We start from the raw sequence: 16,784 nt of genomic DNA, 5'->3' as shown, positions 1-16,784 counted from the left end.
ACTTCTTTGCCTTGCCCTCCAGTAGCTCGGAGTAATTTGATCGTCTGAAGTGTTCTTCTCTCAGCTCGTCAAAGTCATTCTCCGTCCAGCTTTGTTCCGTTGCTGGTGAGGAACTCCGTTCCTTTGCAGGAGGAGAGTCGCTCTGCTTTTTAGAGTTTCCAGTTTTTCTGCTCTGTTTTTTCCCCATCTTTGTGGTTTTATCTACTTTTGGTCTTTGATGATGGTGATGTACAGATGGGTTTTGGTGTGGATGTCCTTTCTGTTTGTTAGTTTTCCTTCTAACAGACAGGACCCTCAGCTGCAGGTCTGTTGGAGTACCCGGCCATGTGAGGTGTCAGTGTGCCCCTGCTGGGGGGGTGCCTCCTAGTTAGGCTGCTCAGGGGTCAGGGGTCAGGGACCCACTTGAGGAGGCAGTCTGCCCGTTCTCAGATCTCCAGCTGCATACTGGGAGAACCAATGCTCTCTTCAAAGCTGTCAGACAGGGACATTTAAGTCTGCAGAGGTTACTGCTGTCTTTTTGTTTGTCTGTGCCCTGCCTCCAGAGGTGGAGCCTACAGAGGCAGGCAGGCCTCCTTGAGCTGTGGTGGGCTCCCCCCAGTTCGAGCTTCCCGGCTGCTTTGTTTATGTAAGCAAGCCTGGGCAATGGTGGGCGCACCTCCCCCAGCCTTGCTGCCGCCTTGCAGTTTGATCTCAGACTGCTGTGCTAGCAATCAGAGAGACTCCGTGGGCGTAGGACCCTCCAAGCCAGGTGCAGGATATAATCTCCTGATGCGCCGTTTTTTAAGCCCGTCAGAAAAGCGCAGTATACGGGTGGGAGTGACCCAATTTTCCAGGTGCCGTCTGTCACCCCTTTCTTTGACTGGGAAAGGGAACTCCCTGACCCCTTGGGCTTCCCAAGTGAGGCAATGCCTCGCCCTGCTTCGGCTTGCACACGGTGCGCTGCACCCAGTGACCTGTGCCCACTGTCTGGCACTCCCTAATGAGATGAACCCAGTACCTCAGATGGAAATGCCGAAATCACCCGTCTTCTGCATCGCTTACGCTGGGAGCTGTAGACCGGTGCTGTTCCTATTCCAGGCCCAGTGATCAGGATAGATTTATTGAGGCTATGTCATAATACTTTGAGCTTCTACCGTGACAAATAAACATTAAGCTTTTATTGCAATACAGGACAAAGGAACAGGTAATGAGTCATACAGGATGGTACCCCAAGTCAGCTGTTAGGGTCACACTCATCTTTGGCTTCTTAGGAGGAAGGGTAGAAACACCCATCTATTATCACTGCTTGCTTTCTATTATATTGAACTATAGAGCTGGCTCTCTGCTCTGCATCTCGCAATGCGCCATGGTTCCCCTCAACCTCATCCCACCATAAATCCTACAGAGATCTCAGGGCTAGAGGGAGGAAAAAAGAAGATGCTCCTCACACCAAAAATATATCAGTAACACTTACCTAAGCAAAAGAACTAGAAAAATTACTTCTATCTCATCACTCTTGCCCATTCAGATAACTTATTCCAACAATGCAAGACAGCACCTACACTGTTAATTATTAATAAATGGCATGGTAGAATAATGGAAACATCCCTTGACTGAAAGCCAGGAGACAGGTTTCAGGTCTGGCCCTGCTCCCTACAGCCAGCTGGCCTCTGCTAGATCGCTTGCTTCTTTTGTCCTTTGATTTCTGCAGATGCATAGTGAGAAACTGGGTAGATCAGTCTTTCCATAGAATGTGAAAGTCATGAGAAGGCAGCCTTGGGAAACACTGTACACTCTCTACTCTCTTTTCAGAGACCCATCCTGCACATGAACTTCCAGTTACAAATAAATCTTTTTTTGTCCCCCTTGAGCTAGGGTCTTGCTGTGTTGCCCAAGGTGGTGTGCAGTGGCACAATTATAATTCAGTATAACCTTGGACTCCTGGGCTTAAGCGATGCTCCTGCCTCAGCCTCCCACATAGCTGAGACTGTAAGTGTGTACCTCCAAGCCCACCTATTTTTCTTTTCATTTTTGTAGAGATGGGGTTTCACTATATTGCCCAGGCTGTTCTTGAACTCTTGGGTTCAAGTGATCCTCCTGCCTCCGCCTCCCAAAGCACTTATAGAACAGAGGCCAACATTCTGGCCAATAAATCTTTTATACTTAGTTTAATCAAGAGTTTCCTTGTCTAATTTGACCAGAGAATGCCCAAACTGCTCTTCCTGCCTTCCTTCCTGCCTTTCTGCCTTCTTACCTTCCTTCCTGCCTTCCTGCCTTCCTGGCTTCCTTCCTGTCTTCCCTTTCTTTTTGTCAAATGAATTGGAAGGGAAAATATAGGATGGCTCATTATTTGGAATTTAAGTTCTTAAACAATCTAATCCAAATATACTTTCCACATTAATTCTAGTTAGTTCTATATATGAACCTTCAAATTTAATTTGAGTGTACTATACAGCTATGCCAGGACAGTCCTCCTGCTTCTCTGCCTTGCTTGTTTTGTTTCTTCCATGGCATTACTCAACCCTCTGCTCTCTCTTTCCAGAACTGCTTACTCTACTATGGCCCCATCTGCCATGTTCCAGTTTTATGTACTCCTTTAATCTTCTGAAGCGATGTTACCCAACCCATTTACATTTAATCATAGTCATTTGCATTTTCTTTGCTGGTGGTTTTCTTTGTCATGCAACTGCGCATTCCTTTCCCTCTTGCCTTCCCAGTTATAAATCCCAAGAGGACAAAAGCCTGGGCATGACACTTTCATAGCACCTGGTAATAATTTGATATATCTTGGGGAGTAGCTGCTGTAGGGGTAGATCATTGATACCACAGTGATATATTTGCCAGGTGGACTGGGAGATAATCAGAGTGTTAGATCGATTCGTTTGTTTTTAATGTTATAGTTTATTATGAAACAAGTTAAAAGAAAGAAAAAGCAGAGGGCTATTACTTCTGACATGATGAGAATGTTCTAGGTCTTTCTTGGTGGTACTATCCAGCCTTGTAGCTTGAATCTTGGTCAATATTAATCCTACCATAGTTCTGTATTTTATTACCTTATACTGAAAGCTGACTGAGAGCACAGTCCTAGAAGAGATAGCTGGATGGCTGGAGAAAGAATATACATTTTCAAAGGGGAAGAAGAAAAAAGAGATGTTAGAAGGTCAAAAAAAGATTAACTTAACGATTTCCTCGAGTTCCTTGTGTGCGGTATAGAGTATATTTGGATTTCCTACCTAAACTTGAGAATGTACAAGTTATTTCTTGCTTCCCCAGTTTAATGTTCAGTGTCAATTTGAGGTCCCTTATTATGTTTGAATACATCCATTACCTGCTGTGAGTATAGATTTGTCTTCTTATCAATAAGCAAACCGTTAGGGTTATAGTCCTGAGGATAGAGGAAAGACTTTTGCACTCTTGAGAAACTAGGAAAAGAACTTTCTGAAGCTTCCCTCCTGGTAGGAAATCCAACCTAGAAGTCGACTGGATGGGGACAGCCCTGGCAATAAGTTTTCTCTTCTGTCAAGATAGTGCTAATGGAAGGGAAGTCTTGGTTGTTTTGCTTTGCTTTGTTTTTGATAAAAACAAATATTTTGGGCTTCATGGATAGCGGGAAGGTGTTTGAGGGAGCTGAGTCACAGTAGCTGGGTTGGCTGAAAAGGGCAGTAGGAACAGAGACTCTTTGTAGACAGTTTCTATGCCTGACAGACTCCCCTGGTGTCCCTGTTTTGTTGGCTTTGAGTGAGATGGAATATTGTTTTCCAAAACAACTCCCACTTTCATTATGATCATCATTGTCATTATCATCATTATTGCTATTCTCTGAATCACCCAGCAGAGCAAACCTTCACGCATTGACAGTGGCTGAATGTAAGCATTTTAGCTACTTTCTCAAAACAAGGGTCTGCAGGGTCACCCAGTCTTTGTAGCTTCATAGGCAGGGGCTCTCCAATTACAGACAAATGTTCTGAAATTACCTTTGTGTTCCATTCACAAACTGTTCAAATGCATTTTTCTCATTATATGGGAGTACATGATGAGAACAAGGCAAAGTGGCTCATGTATATTATCCCATAGAAGGTAAAGCCATACTCAGAATGTCCTAATGCACTGGACAAGAAATAGGAAAAGTGTCATGAGTTGGGGTATTATGGAAGCAGATATGTTCCACTGAAGGCCAAGGTGTTTTTGTACACCCAAAGGTTTAAATCAGGTGTTTATTGCCTAAAACATGTCTGAGAAAGTTAATGAGGTGAGTTATTACCCACCATGTCTGCAGTTTTTCCATTACCAGCTGTAAAAGCAGGTAGCTATCTCACTCTACCTTGAAGGCATCATTCATTATAGATTACTTGCTTTCAATCATGAGTGGAATACAGCGAAAGGAAAAGTACCAAAGAAGGTCTTCACTGTGCTTTGTTAGAAGACATAAACAGGAGCACTGAGCCTGCGTGCTATTGTCAAACTTCCCCAAATGAGACATTTGGAATTCAAATGATTAATTGGTAACTGGGTATTCAGTATTATTTGAAGCCAGACTTGTTTCTTTCTTTTTCTTATATATTTTTAAACTAATAACAGCCAGAGGCGTACTCTTTTATCCAGAACAGTAACTCACTCACATTACTATATGACTGAATAAGTAGCTTCATTTTTATCATAGTTGAATCCAACTTTTATTCCAACCAAGCATTGCTAAAGATCAAAGGCAGGGGTGTACAGAAAGTTTGCTTTGTTGTTAACTTGGCTCCTGACCCAACTGTCAGAGACAGCCAAAAGATAGATGTTTCTTTTTCTCCCTAGTACTGTGTTTGGTTATAGTTACGTATTTCTTATAGAAGAGGCCAAAGATCACTCTCTGTTGATGGCTGGCTGTGATCATCCAGAAATCTTCAAGATGACCAAATTAGAACCATGAACAAAACCTTTAGTGGCCAATCTTTTAGATATCCTAATTTAGATCCGAATACATTTGTACAAACAGATGAACTTTACTACATGATTGCCAGATTTCTTTCTTATCCTGTGATATTTAAATCCAGACTTAAACTTCTACATTGTGTATGGTTGGAGTGCATGATTATCCTCAGTAGGACACTTAAGTGAAATAGGCAAGACTCTGAGACCAGTATTCAATCCTATGAAGATAATGAAGGGGGTTACAAAGATCATGGAGCACAGAAGTTCATCAATATGCTGCTTGTGACAGATTGTGAAATACTAATAGTTTAACATATTCAAACTGGGGAAATAAAGATACTGAAGAATTTACCAAAATTAAGTGCAGGGCTAATAAGGCGACATTGAATATAACCCGCACAGGCAGTAGGGGTGCCTGACAAATATTCTCCTTAGGAAATGTGTGGTCATGTCTGATAAGCATAGGCAGCACAACATCATTTATTTTTATCAAAGCTCCCCAGGCAGGAAAAATTAAGAGATAGAGATTACCATTTAATCTAAAAGAACTGGGATCTTTATTAAGCAATACTTATTATTTACATACTTGAATATTTTGCTGTGTTTAAAACCTTCACATTTCAAATAAGTATGAAAATTGCTGCTTGTTTTCTTAGAGTACCATGGTAGTAACAGCTTATTATTAAATAGATCTCTACTTTGGAACTGAATTCTGTCTTATTAACTAGAATATATTGTATCTCAGTACCGGTGGTGATTTGTAAAGGAATAAAATGTTATAATTAATAGAAATGCATACTAGTGTCTCTTTTTCTGGTTCATTTATTTGTTCAACACATTATCATCTTCTCTGCACTATATGTTCTCCCAGGATTTGAGTTTATATAGTGGATAACATAGAAAACATTTATATTAGGCAGTTTAAGAAAGGTTTCACTCCAATAACAACGAAGCACAAAATAATCTTAGACGTTTACGAGGCAAAGGTTTATTTGTTATTTGTTTCATATAACTGTGAAGGTTAGCTTTTTGACTCATCTGCATACCAATCTTCATGTTGCAATTTAGGCTGAAGGAGTAGCCCCTGTCCACTCATGCTGGTCTCATTGTAATGAAAAAACAGCAGTGGCAGGAATGTACTGGCTTTTAAAATTTCTCTTTGGAAGTGGCTTGTTATATTAACTCACACTTCGTTAGCCAAATGAAGTCACACCTACAAGCCAATTATCAGTGGGTTAGGAAGAATAATTCTCCCATCAAAAGGACCTGAAAGTGAGAGGTGGTGAATATTTTTGATAATAATGGAATTTATAAAACTGTCTTAGAGAATATGTAGTCTAGGTAGAAAGCTTAAAGTTATGATACAGAAATACGACACGGCATGCAACAAGCAGTTTTATATTAGCAGCTATAAGGTTCTTTGCTTTAGTCCCTATTAAATAACATTTTGTACTTTGGTAGATGTCCCTGTTTTTCTCATATAAAATGCTGAGTCCAGGCAAACATTTACCAAAATAAAATCAATTTAAGCCAGATATTATGGTAAGCCAGAAATAGCATTTAGAAATGTAGATCTGATTAATAGTGACTTCTTCATTGCTAAGTCATATTGATGAAGTGTCCAATCCAATTGATGATGCAGACATTGACCATTGGGATCACAGGAGGAAAAAACTTTGATTTGATGGAAATAGGAGTCACATATCAATACTACCTTTTGATCACTCCAAAACCAAATGAAAAGGGCAAAGAAGTGGAGGCATATGATAATGCCCATGAGGTCTCTTCTGGATCCTCATCAGGCCAACACTGGTTTGCTTTTGATATAGGCCATCTAATTTCAGATGGATGCATATCACACACTGAAGTTTAAACCTCATCCAATAATTTTTATCTAATTTCATTCAATATGAGCTGCCTCTAGCATCTAATAATATTTAATAATATTCAGTTGCCAAAAGGGATTGTTATTAACTTGTCTGAAAACTTGTGATTCAGTTTAGTCATTCTTAGATTTATATTGTCAGATTTATATACATACATCATATAAATCAACTGCTAAGGAAAGATAAAATCCATGAAAATAGTAGAATTTAGAAAAATTTCGGCTGGGTGCGGTGGCTCATGCCTATAATCCCAGCACTTTGGGAGGGTGAGGTGGGTAGATCATGAGGTCAGGAGTTTGAGACCAGCCTGGCAAACATAGTGAAACTCCGACTCTACTAAAAGTACAAAAATTAGATGGGCATGGTGGCAGGCACCTGTAATCCCAGCTACTCAGGAGGCTGAGGCAGGAGAATTGCTTGAACCTGGGAGGTGGAGGTTGTGGTGAGCCGAGATCACACCATGGCACTCCAGCCTGGGCAACAGAGCGAGACTCCGTCTCAAAAAAAACAAAAAACAAACAACAACAACAACAACCAAAAAAACCTTCATTATGTTTAACATCTGATGAGCTCGGCCGGGCGCGGTGGCTCACGCCTATAATCCCAGCACTTTGGGAGGCTGAGGTGGGCGGATCACGAAGTCAGGAGATCAAGACCATCCTGGCTAACACGGTGAAACCCCATCTCTACTAAAAAAAAACCAAAAAAAACAAAAATACAAAAAAATTAGTGGGGTGTGGTGGTAGGCACCTGTAGTCCCAACTACTCAGGAGGCTGAGGCAGGAGAATGGTGTGAACCCGGGAGGCGGAGCTTGCAGTGAGCAGAGATCGCGCCACTGCACTCCAGCCTGGGCGATAGAGCAAGAGTCCATCTCAAAAAAAAAAAAAAAAAAAAAAAAAAAAAAAAAATCTGATGAGCTCTTAAAACTGAATACAAAGTATAAAGATTAATTGCTTAAATAAGGCTATTTTTTTAAATTATAAATATAGTAGTACTTATATTTTACTTGAAACAAAAATGCATATGAAATTCAGGTTTGCTCTAAGAAAGGCAATTGAATGACCATTTTGATAAATTAAGCTGATTAAATGGATTTTAGAGTAATAGATATAGAGAGAGACTATGTGCTATAATTGAAGAAGTTGTGGACTGAAACACGGGAGACATAAATGACATACAACTCTTGCTTCAGTGAAATGTGTCATCAGGCCAAATAACTTACTGATCCCAAGGTATTTCTAATTTTAAAAATGATTTGGAGCAAGTGCTGGTAAATTTGCTAGAAATGATATTCCTTCATTTGCCCCCCTTTCCTCCCTTTCTTTCTCCCTTAATTGAAATATAATTATTGAACTATTAAATGTTTCAGATGTGAAAATAGGCACTGAATAATGTATTAATGTATAAAACAATCATGGTCCCTGTTCTCTGCAGCTTGATATCAACAAATGAAGACAAACTATTACAGTGGTTACCATGAGATAAATAAACAAAGTCCTGATATCTATAAATCTAGGTAGTGAGGGAAGTTTTCTCTGAGAAGGTGACATCTGCTTATGTCTAAAGAATGAAAACTGGGGACAAAACATGTTGCAAGTGGAGAAAACAGTTCCAGCCATGTGAAGAATCTGGATTTTATTCAAGTGCAATGGAAGGTCATTAATGGCTTTATAGGCAGGGAAGTGATAGGAGGTGATTTATATTTAAAACAACTGATCTGGTGGTTGTTGAGTTGTAGTAGGGTAAGCAAGTAGGCAGGGAGACACAGTGGAGAGGATTGCACTGAACCAGGCAAGAGGTGATAGAAATTGGACTGGGGTAATGAAAATCGTGATCAAGGTGGACAAATAGATTTTAAATACACTTTGCAGGAAAAAGTGTCAATGTTTGCCAATAGTTGAATGTAGGAAATTATGCAGAGAGAGATATCAGGAGTGATTTTTTGCCTTTGGGCTTGAACAAATGGGTAGATGGTACCATTTAGTGAGAAGATGAAGTGTGGGCAAGAAATCAGTGTGGAGAGGTTGTAATCAAGGAAGCCATTTTGAAGTGTTTCGTTGGAGATGATTGTGAGTCTTCCAATTGGAGTTGTCAAGCTGTAGTTGAATATTTGATTTTGGAGCTGAGAAGAAAGGTTTGGGCTGGAGATAAAATGATATTTTAAGTCACAGGAATTGATGAGAAAGCTATTGAGAGAAGTATAGTGAGCGGGGGCATCAGGAAAAAAAAATAAAATGAAATGACAAAACCAAAAGAAACTGAGAGAGTGAGGTAAAAAATGTCAGAGAAAAACCATGAGAGGATAGTATCCTGGAAGCTGAGGGAAGATAATATTTCAAGAAATAAAGCGATTTACCCTGCTGAATATTGCCGAAAGGCAGATAAAATCAGAACAAAAAAGAAGTCTACTTCTTAACAGCAGAGACATGATCGGCAACCTTGGAATAAATAGCTTCACAAGGGGGTAGGAAGGAAAGATGTAGCCCAAACTGGAGTGGAAAGAGGGGTAGATGTGATGTGTGAAAAAGGAGATAGCAGGAATAAACACTTCTTGAAAAGTTACACAGTAAAGGGGAATAGAAAAAAAAGGTGATATCTGGAGGGGAATACGAGACTCAGAAGATTCTTCTTGAATAGAAAAGACACTTGCGTGTGTTGCTAATGGCAACGGTAAGACAGATGCAGAGTCCGGTGCAATTAAGAAAGAGATGCAAAGCCTGTGAGAAGGCTAGGGCAGATGGGGAATCTTACCTTTAATAGATGAAAGACATTTCCTCAATAATAGCTAATGAGGTTGGATAGGTATAGATACAAGGAGGTTTCTATGTTTTGTTGTGGAAAATCAGAATTATTAAATTTTATCATTTAGATGTGATGCAACATCATGGCCTAAGAGATTGGGCAAGTTTGGTGCAGAAAATTGAAGGAGAGAGGAGAAATGTCTAGTAAGTTGGAGGAAGCTTTAGGACACATTTACACACAAGGCTGTTCTATCTTCGGGTAGAGGCTCCATACGTGTTATTGAGCAGACAGGGCATTGCATAGCATTTTAGATATAACAATAGATTCACTCACAATTAATTTTCAGATGGCAACCTCAAATTAAGTTTGCATATAGCAGATTTAATTTGAAACAGTTTTTGCAAAAATCTCCTAAAGGCTCAATTATAAGACTGACACTTGCCAATTTTTTCCAACCATAGCCTAGAGAATATATCATCAAACCCCTAGGCTGGAAGAAAACAGTTGGCTTTTATATATTCTAATAGCTTAAATCTTCTAATATGTGTGTGTGAGAAAAGCTGGTAAAGGCAAATTTACTCAACAGAAGCTTTGTACATGTGCATATCAGAAGTGCCATAATTATATACAGATAACCATTTTGACTATGCTTTTTTGGGCTAATAAGACGTTTATTACACTTATTTTGTATTTTTAAAATACACTTTTCTGTTATCTCTTTTAAAAAGCTCCTTTTATGGATTCTATTTGAGGCTGTTTTCCAAAGCCATTTCTTAAGATAGGCATTCTGAGTAAAAATGTTCTGAACCTCCTAGTAAGTCTCAGAGTATTGATTATCTTCTAATCTAGTTTTGACTTTGCCTTGAAATTTCAGCCATAAAAGATTTAAAAGATTCTGCCCTTCACTAAAAGCTATCATCTGTAATCCTTGCACTCACCCATTTCAGAATTGAGATGACTGAATGTCACATTCAGTTACCTTTATAAACCCCCAAATCAAAGTTTCTAATAGCAACACTTGCCTCCCTCATCACTCTTGCTTCTCAACTCCCAATTTATCAGTAATTCTTTACCACCCCTTGCCACTTACTGTCTGCAGGGTTTGAGCTGTCAGACCAGCTAAGCAGGCTTCTGGAGTCAAACAGCTTTAAAAGTTCCACAGATTTCATACAGGAAATGGGAAAATATAAAAACAGTGCATGTCAAAATGCCATGCCATGTTGACAGTAAATCACTTAGCAAACGTTTAGTTTGTCTTTGGTGTACTATCAGAAACCACTAGCAGCTGGTGTGTATGCCTGTGTGTGCGTGCCTGTGTGTGCATCTGTGTGTGTGCATGTGTGTTTCAAAGTAATTTCTTAAGCCTTCAGAAAAATGCTGCCATTTTTGCCTCCATTCTTCTTGTTTAACCTTTTACAAATAGCCAAAATAATGTATGGATGTGCAATTTCACTGTCCTTTTCTCTCAGATGCAGGCAATAAAAGTTGATTTGCACTAACAAGCTAAAAGCTCTGAGTGCTACCGGAGTGTGATGCATTCCAGGAGGGAGGGCAGCTATCAGAATCTATGACAGTAGAAAGCATTTTCACAACAGACCCCACAAAGATTTAGGATCTGAGGCTGGAATTCAATCTATTGTTCAGAAGTCAGCTGGTATAGAAGAATCAACTGAAAATTGGTGAGAGTGAAGACTATCTTCCTTTTCTGTTGCTTTTGATTTCTATATAATCCAGGTGTACTATGGCCACTGCAATGTAAGCCTTCCCTACTCTCCTCCATATGATTGGCAAGGAGTCAGATTATAGTAGGCTCATAGCATTAGCTAGCAATAAGGCATAAAACATGTTTGTGAGAAAATATGTGTTAGAAAAATACATGCTAGAGATATTCTGTGTTTACGCCTCTGGCCGGCAGTTGACATTCCCATTAGTTGCAAAGAAAAGTAGAAAATGTAGCCAAAGAAAACATTAGAAATGAAAACATGTCACTGATCATGTGCATCAACCCCTCTCATTTGATATTTAATTAGCAAACGTACTAAATATACTAGAAAAGATATTACCGTGGTCCTGCATAGAATTACAGGAACACAAAGCTACAAACTAGCTAAGGTAAATTTTTGGGCTTCTTTATAAATTTGAGCCTTCTTAAAAGAGAAAAGTGTAACTGAACAGTTTCAAATATTAACTGATACACAGAGCAGATGATAACCACATTGTAACCATCATGGCTATGCTGTTCAGGCAAACAAAACACGGCGCTCCCATGAAGAAAGCAATAGCCTAGAAGGACAAATACAGTCCATACTGATAAAGAGAATGCCTCATTTTGGCATCCTAAGCTTTCTTCCATCAAACAAAACTGGAAGGATACAAAAGTGGAATACAATAAGATTAGAAAGAAAAATATTTGTCAAACCATGATGTCACTTCATACAATGTAGAGAGGAAGGAGAGTGGTAGTGGTGGTCTAAGGGCTCGGGCTTTGGAGACTGTGTTTAAATTCCAGATGCCATTTACATCTTGTGTAGTCTGGGGTAATTAATTTAACCTCATGATATCTTGGCTTGCTATTAATAGAATCTCTTTATGGAGTTGTAAGAATATGATTTGATGTATGCAAAGTTCTTGCTGGCACCTCCTTAGCACTCAATGAAAGTTAGGTGTTACTATTAAGTAATTGTAAGCACGTGTATTTTTAAAACACATGTATGATTTTGAGAACTTTTAACTCCTTGAATAAATGTCATATATTCATAATTGGTAAATATTTTGTAGTAGTGGTCGTGATCGTGGTAGTGGTAATAGTGGTGGGATCTTAGAGTTTGAAACAGACCCTGAGTTGGAAATTTGTGTGCAGAGATTTGTTAGAAAGTGCTTTCTGAAACAGGACCTGCAACGGATGGAGCAAAGGAAACAGGATTAAGCAGAGGGAAATATTAAGCTGTGATGCAGCTGCCACCAAGAACCATTTCAGGGAGAACTCTGAAGCTGTGAAGGCCCTTAAGAAACACCTCAGATTATCTCAAATGGATGCAAAGGAGCTGGGGGCCTTTGGACTTAACCCATCAGCAAGTAGATACAGGCTGCTTCTACAGCAGGGCACACCCCTGGGCAAGGCAGCCTTCTTCAGCCTTAGCAATTTTTGAGTGGGGTTCTGGGTGGCAAACACCATAGCTTTGACTACAGTTCACCGCTCATGTTGCTGATTATATATATATACAATCCAAGAACAGCTCCTCCAGGATTCTGGTTGGTTTGTTTTTCTGGGAAAAATTACAAAAACAAAGCAAGACACCAATTAGTACAGTCCCCATCATATCAGCTGGTTTGAGGACCATATGTAACATTCTTCACCTCCCTCCTCTTCTTACCCATTCCAGTTTCCATTTGTCTTTGGTTTCCTAGCTGTTCTAATTTCATTGGCTTACTGAGTGATAAGTCCTGGACTCCCATCCTCAGGGATCTGAGCATTGGTCATTATGCCCTTCTCAGACTCTGTCCACTGTACTTGTCTATTGAAAATTAAAGTTATGCAAAAGAGTACTAGTCACCTTGGTGCAAACATAACCTTTCTATCTCTGCGAGGAAGGTGGTTCTTTTCTTGTTTGCTGGCTCCTTGGCACAAGAAGCCTAAAAGGATTTGATGATAGAATAGCTTAAAGCTTAATGAGACTTTTGCAATGTACCCTAGTAGAAGGGACTCCACCCTAGGAACCAAAATCTCTGGTTCCTCTTGGCATAGAATTATGGGAATAAGAAAAATGAAGTCTTTTAAGTGGGTCACTGAGAGTGATGGTAAGTGAGATTTTGACTTCCTTATACCTAGTATTTCAGCCTTTCTCCTTTAAGGTCTGTAACAAACCAGTCAAACTATTTGTTACTACCCATGAGTCCATGCATATTCTTACTTCAGACTTTTTTTTTTTTTTTTTTTTCCACAGAGTGCAAAATCAGGTGAAGGTTTTTTCTCACCACTGTCTTTCAGGAATATTCCTCAGTTGAGTCCATGTGCAGCTGTAGTGGCACTTTTTCAGCTACCCATTTTTTTTTTTCCTTTCTCAGCTAAGCATCAAGAACCCCTCATATGGCCACATGTGTGATCTGAGAAAGGAACACCAGTGCAAGTGCAGGTAATGACATAGGTGGCTGAGAAACTCACTCTTGAATTCTGCTTCTGCTCAAACTCACATGTGCTACTATGGAACTTCTCAGCGGTGTAGGTGACCTTCTCACCAGCACATGCATGACTACTTTGGCAAAAGGAGTAATCTCTGGGTGCTTTCCTGGAACGTAATTGGCTGAAGAGTTTTCAACTTTACATAGTATTAGGGGCTGAGTTGTGTTTCTCTCTAGATGCAAACGCTAAAATCTTAACCCCAGGACTTCACAATGTGATTATATTTGGAGATAAGCATTTTAAATAACTCTCGTTTATGCCTAGTGTTCCATTATTGGAATGCTAAGCATGTGGGAATTATTTGTATCCTACTGCTCAAGGTTATTGCCAAGGTCTGATTGCAAAAATTCAAAAAGTTGCAACCTCAAGCATAAAGGGGTTAAGTTAAAGTGAGGCCATTAGGATGTGCCCTAATCCAAACTGATAGATGTCCTTATAAGAAGAAGAAATTTTTATACAAAAAGAGATACCAGGGATGCACACACACAGAGAAAGATCATGTGAGGACACATCAAGAAAGTGGCCATCTGCCAGCAAAGGAGAGAAACCTCAGGAGAAACCAAACCTACCTTCACCTTGATCTTAGACTTTCAGCCTCCAAAACTGTGAGATGTATCTTTCTGTTGGCTAAACCACCCAGGCTGTGGAATTTTGTTATGGCAAACCAATACACATAGTACATCCATTATGCCATGTCAATTTTCTTGAGACTTCTAATCACTACTTCTAACTGTCTGGCATTTCTGTTATCACTTGGTGTTAAGTATTGCTTTCTAAAATATTTTAAAAGCCAACCCAGCAGTGTGTTAGCATCATTTTCCAGGGTCATTGCCAGGATTCTGAATCTTGTAGCACGAGAAAGGGCTCTTGTATCAACAAGCTTTTCTTTAACTTTTGTTTCATCTACACATTCTTTCCCACAAGGAGATGTTGGCTAAGTCCTGATGTTCCTTTGGATTATATTTTCTTTTCTAGCACATCTCTAATTGGGTTTTGTTGTGGCTTGATCTTAGTTATGTAGTTTGTTGTCCAGGAGGGAAGGTGAAGCAGACCCTGAAATCAGGGGGTATGTTAAATTGCAAAGCAGAGGACTCCAGATGTCTTTAAGCAAGGAAAGAGCACCTATGTTTACCAAAAAGATGTTGCACAGTTCTCAAGCTCAAAGGGTACAGGGGAGTGAATTGATCATGGGTCCCCATCCCAATCTCTGAGTCCCATCCCATTTCAACTATATGCTGACTTGGTGAAGCAGACTTGCTAATGTTACACATTCAATATTCTCAGAAACTTTACTATATTAAAAACAATAAGTATTAATCAATTAATTATAAATACATATTATAAATAATATTAATAAGCATGAGTTTTAGCTAAGAAAGCCCTCTGCTTTTACACTTTATTTTGAATCAGTGATTATTCACCCACAGTTTAAAATTTTTAACATATATTTGTATATATTTATGGGATACCTGTGATATTTTGATACGTGCATACAATGTATAATCAAATTAGAGTATTTAGAATATTCATTACTTTGAACATTTATGATTACTTTGTGTTGGAAACATTTTAAATCTTCACTTTGAGCTATTTTGAAACATACAATGTATTGTCATTAATTATAGTCACGCTACTATGCTAGAACATGCTAGAACTTATACCTTCTAGTCAACTTTATATTTGTACTCATTAACCAATCTCTCTTCATACCCCTCCCTAACCTCTTCTGTCTACCTCCATAAAATCAACTTTTAAAACTCCCACATGTGGGTGAGAACATGTGAAATTTGTCCTTCTGTGACTGGCTTATTTCACTTTATATAATGACTCTGGTTTTATCCATGTTGCTGGAAAAGAAAAGATTTTATTTTCTATAATGGCTGAATAGTATTCTATTGCATATATATATCACATTTTCTTCATCCATTCATATCTGATGGACACTTAGGTCGATTCCATATCGTGGCTGTTGTGAATAGTACTGCTATAAATATGCAAGTGTAGATCTTCCTTTGATATACTGAATTCCTTTCTTTTGGATAAATACCCAAGAGTGGAATTGCTGAATTGTATGGTAGCTCTATTTTTAGGTTTTGAAAAACTTTCATATTGTTTTCCATGATGGCTGCACTAATTTACATTTCCTCCAACAGTGTGTGAGTTCCTTTTCCCCGCATCCTCACCAGCATTTACTTTTTTTGTCTTTTGATAATAACCATTCTAACTGTGGTAAGATAATATCTCATAGTGGTTTTGACTTGCATTTCTCTGATAATTATGCCAAACATTTTTAATGTACCTGTTGGCCATTTATATGCCTTTTTCTAAAAAATGTCTATTCAGATCCTTTGCTCACTTTTTAATGGGATTTCTTGATATTTTGCGATTGAGTTGTTTGAGTTCCCTGTGTATTCTGGTTATTAGCCTCTTCAATGAACAGCTTGCAAATACTTTTCTCATTCTGTAGGTTGCCTCTACACTCTGTTGGATTGTTTCCTTTGCTATGCAGAAGCATTTTAGTTTAATATATCCCATTTGTCTATTTTTGGTTTTGTTGTGTATGCTTTTTAAATCGTAGCCATAAAATTTTTGCATAGACCGATGTCTTGGAGCATTTTCCCTAAGCTTTGTTCTAGTAGTTTTATAGATGTGGGTCTTATGTTTAAATTTTCAATTCATTTTGAGTTGACTTTTGTATATGATGAGAGAGAGAGTGGTCTAGTTTCATTCTTTTGCATACAGATTTTTCAGCTTTTCCAACACCACTTACTGATGAGACTTTTTTCTCCAATGTATGTTATTGGCACCTTTGTTGAAAATCAGTTGGCTGTAAATAAGTGGATTTATTTCTGAATTCACCCAGTTTTTCTTCACCTTTCTCCATGCATCAATAGACCCCATATGAAAATCCACATAATTATTAGCTCTCTGAAAGAACTGAGACATTACTCCTGAAAGCGTTCTCCATTATTATAGAATCCTGTTCCATTCACCAGCAGTAACTGTTTTAATAATTATTTTCACTTCATGCCAAGGCTGTCAGTATTACACTTACAACTAGTGATGGTTCTCCAATGCC

Source organism: Homo sapiens, chromosome 14 (genome assembly GCF_000001405.40).
Source record: "Homo sapiens chromosome 14, GRCh38.p14 Primary Assembly".
Classification (NCBI taxonomy): Eukaryota; Metazoa; Chordata; class Mammalia; order Primates; family Hominidae; genus Homo; species Homo sapiens.
The sequence above is the reverse complement of the archived record's forward strand: the minus strand, read 5'-3'. Positions refer to the sequence as shown.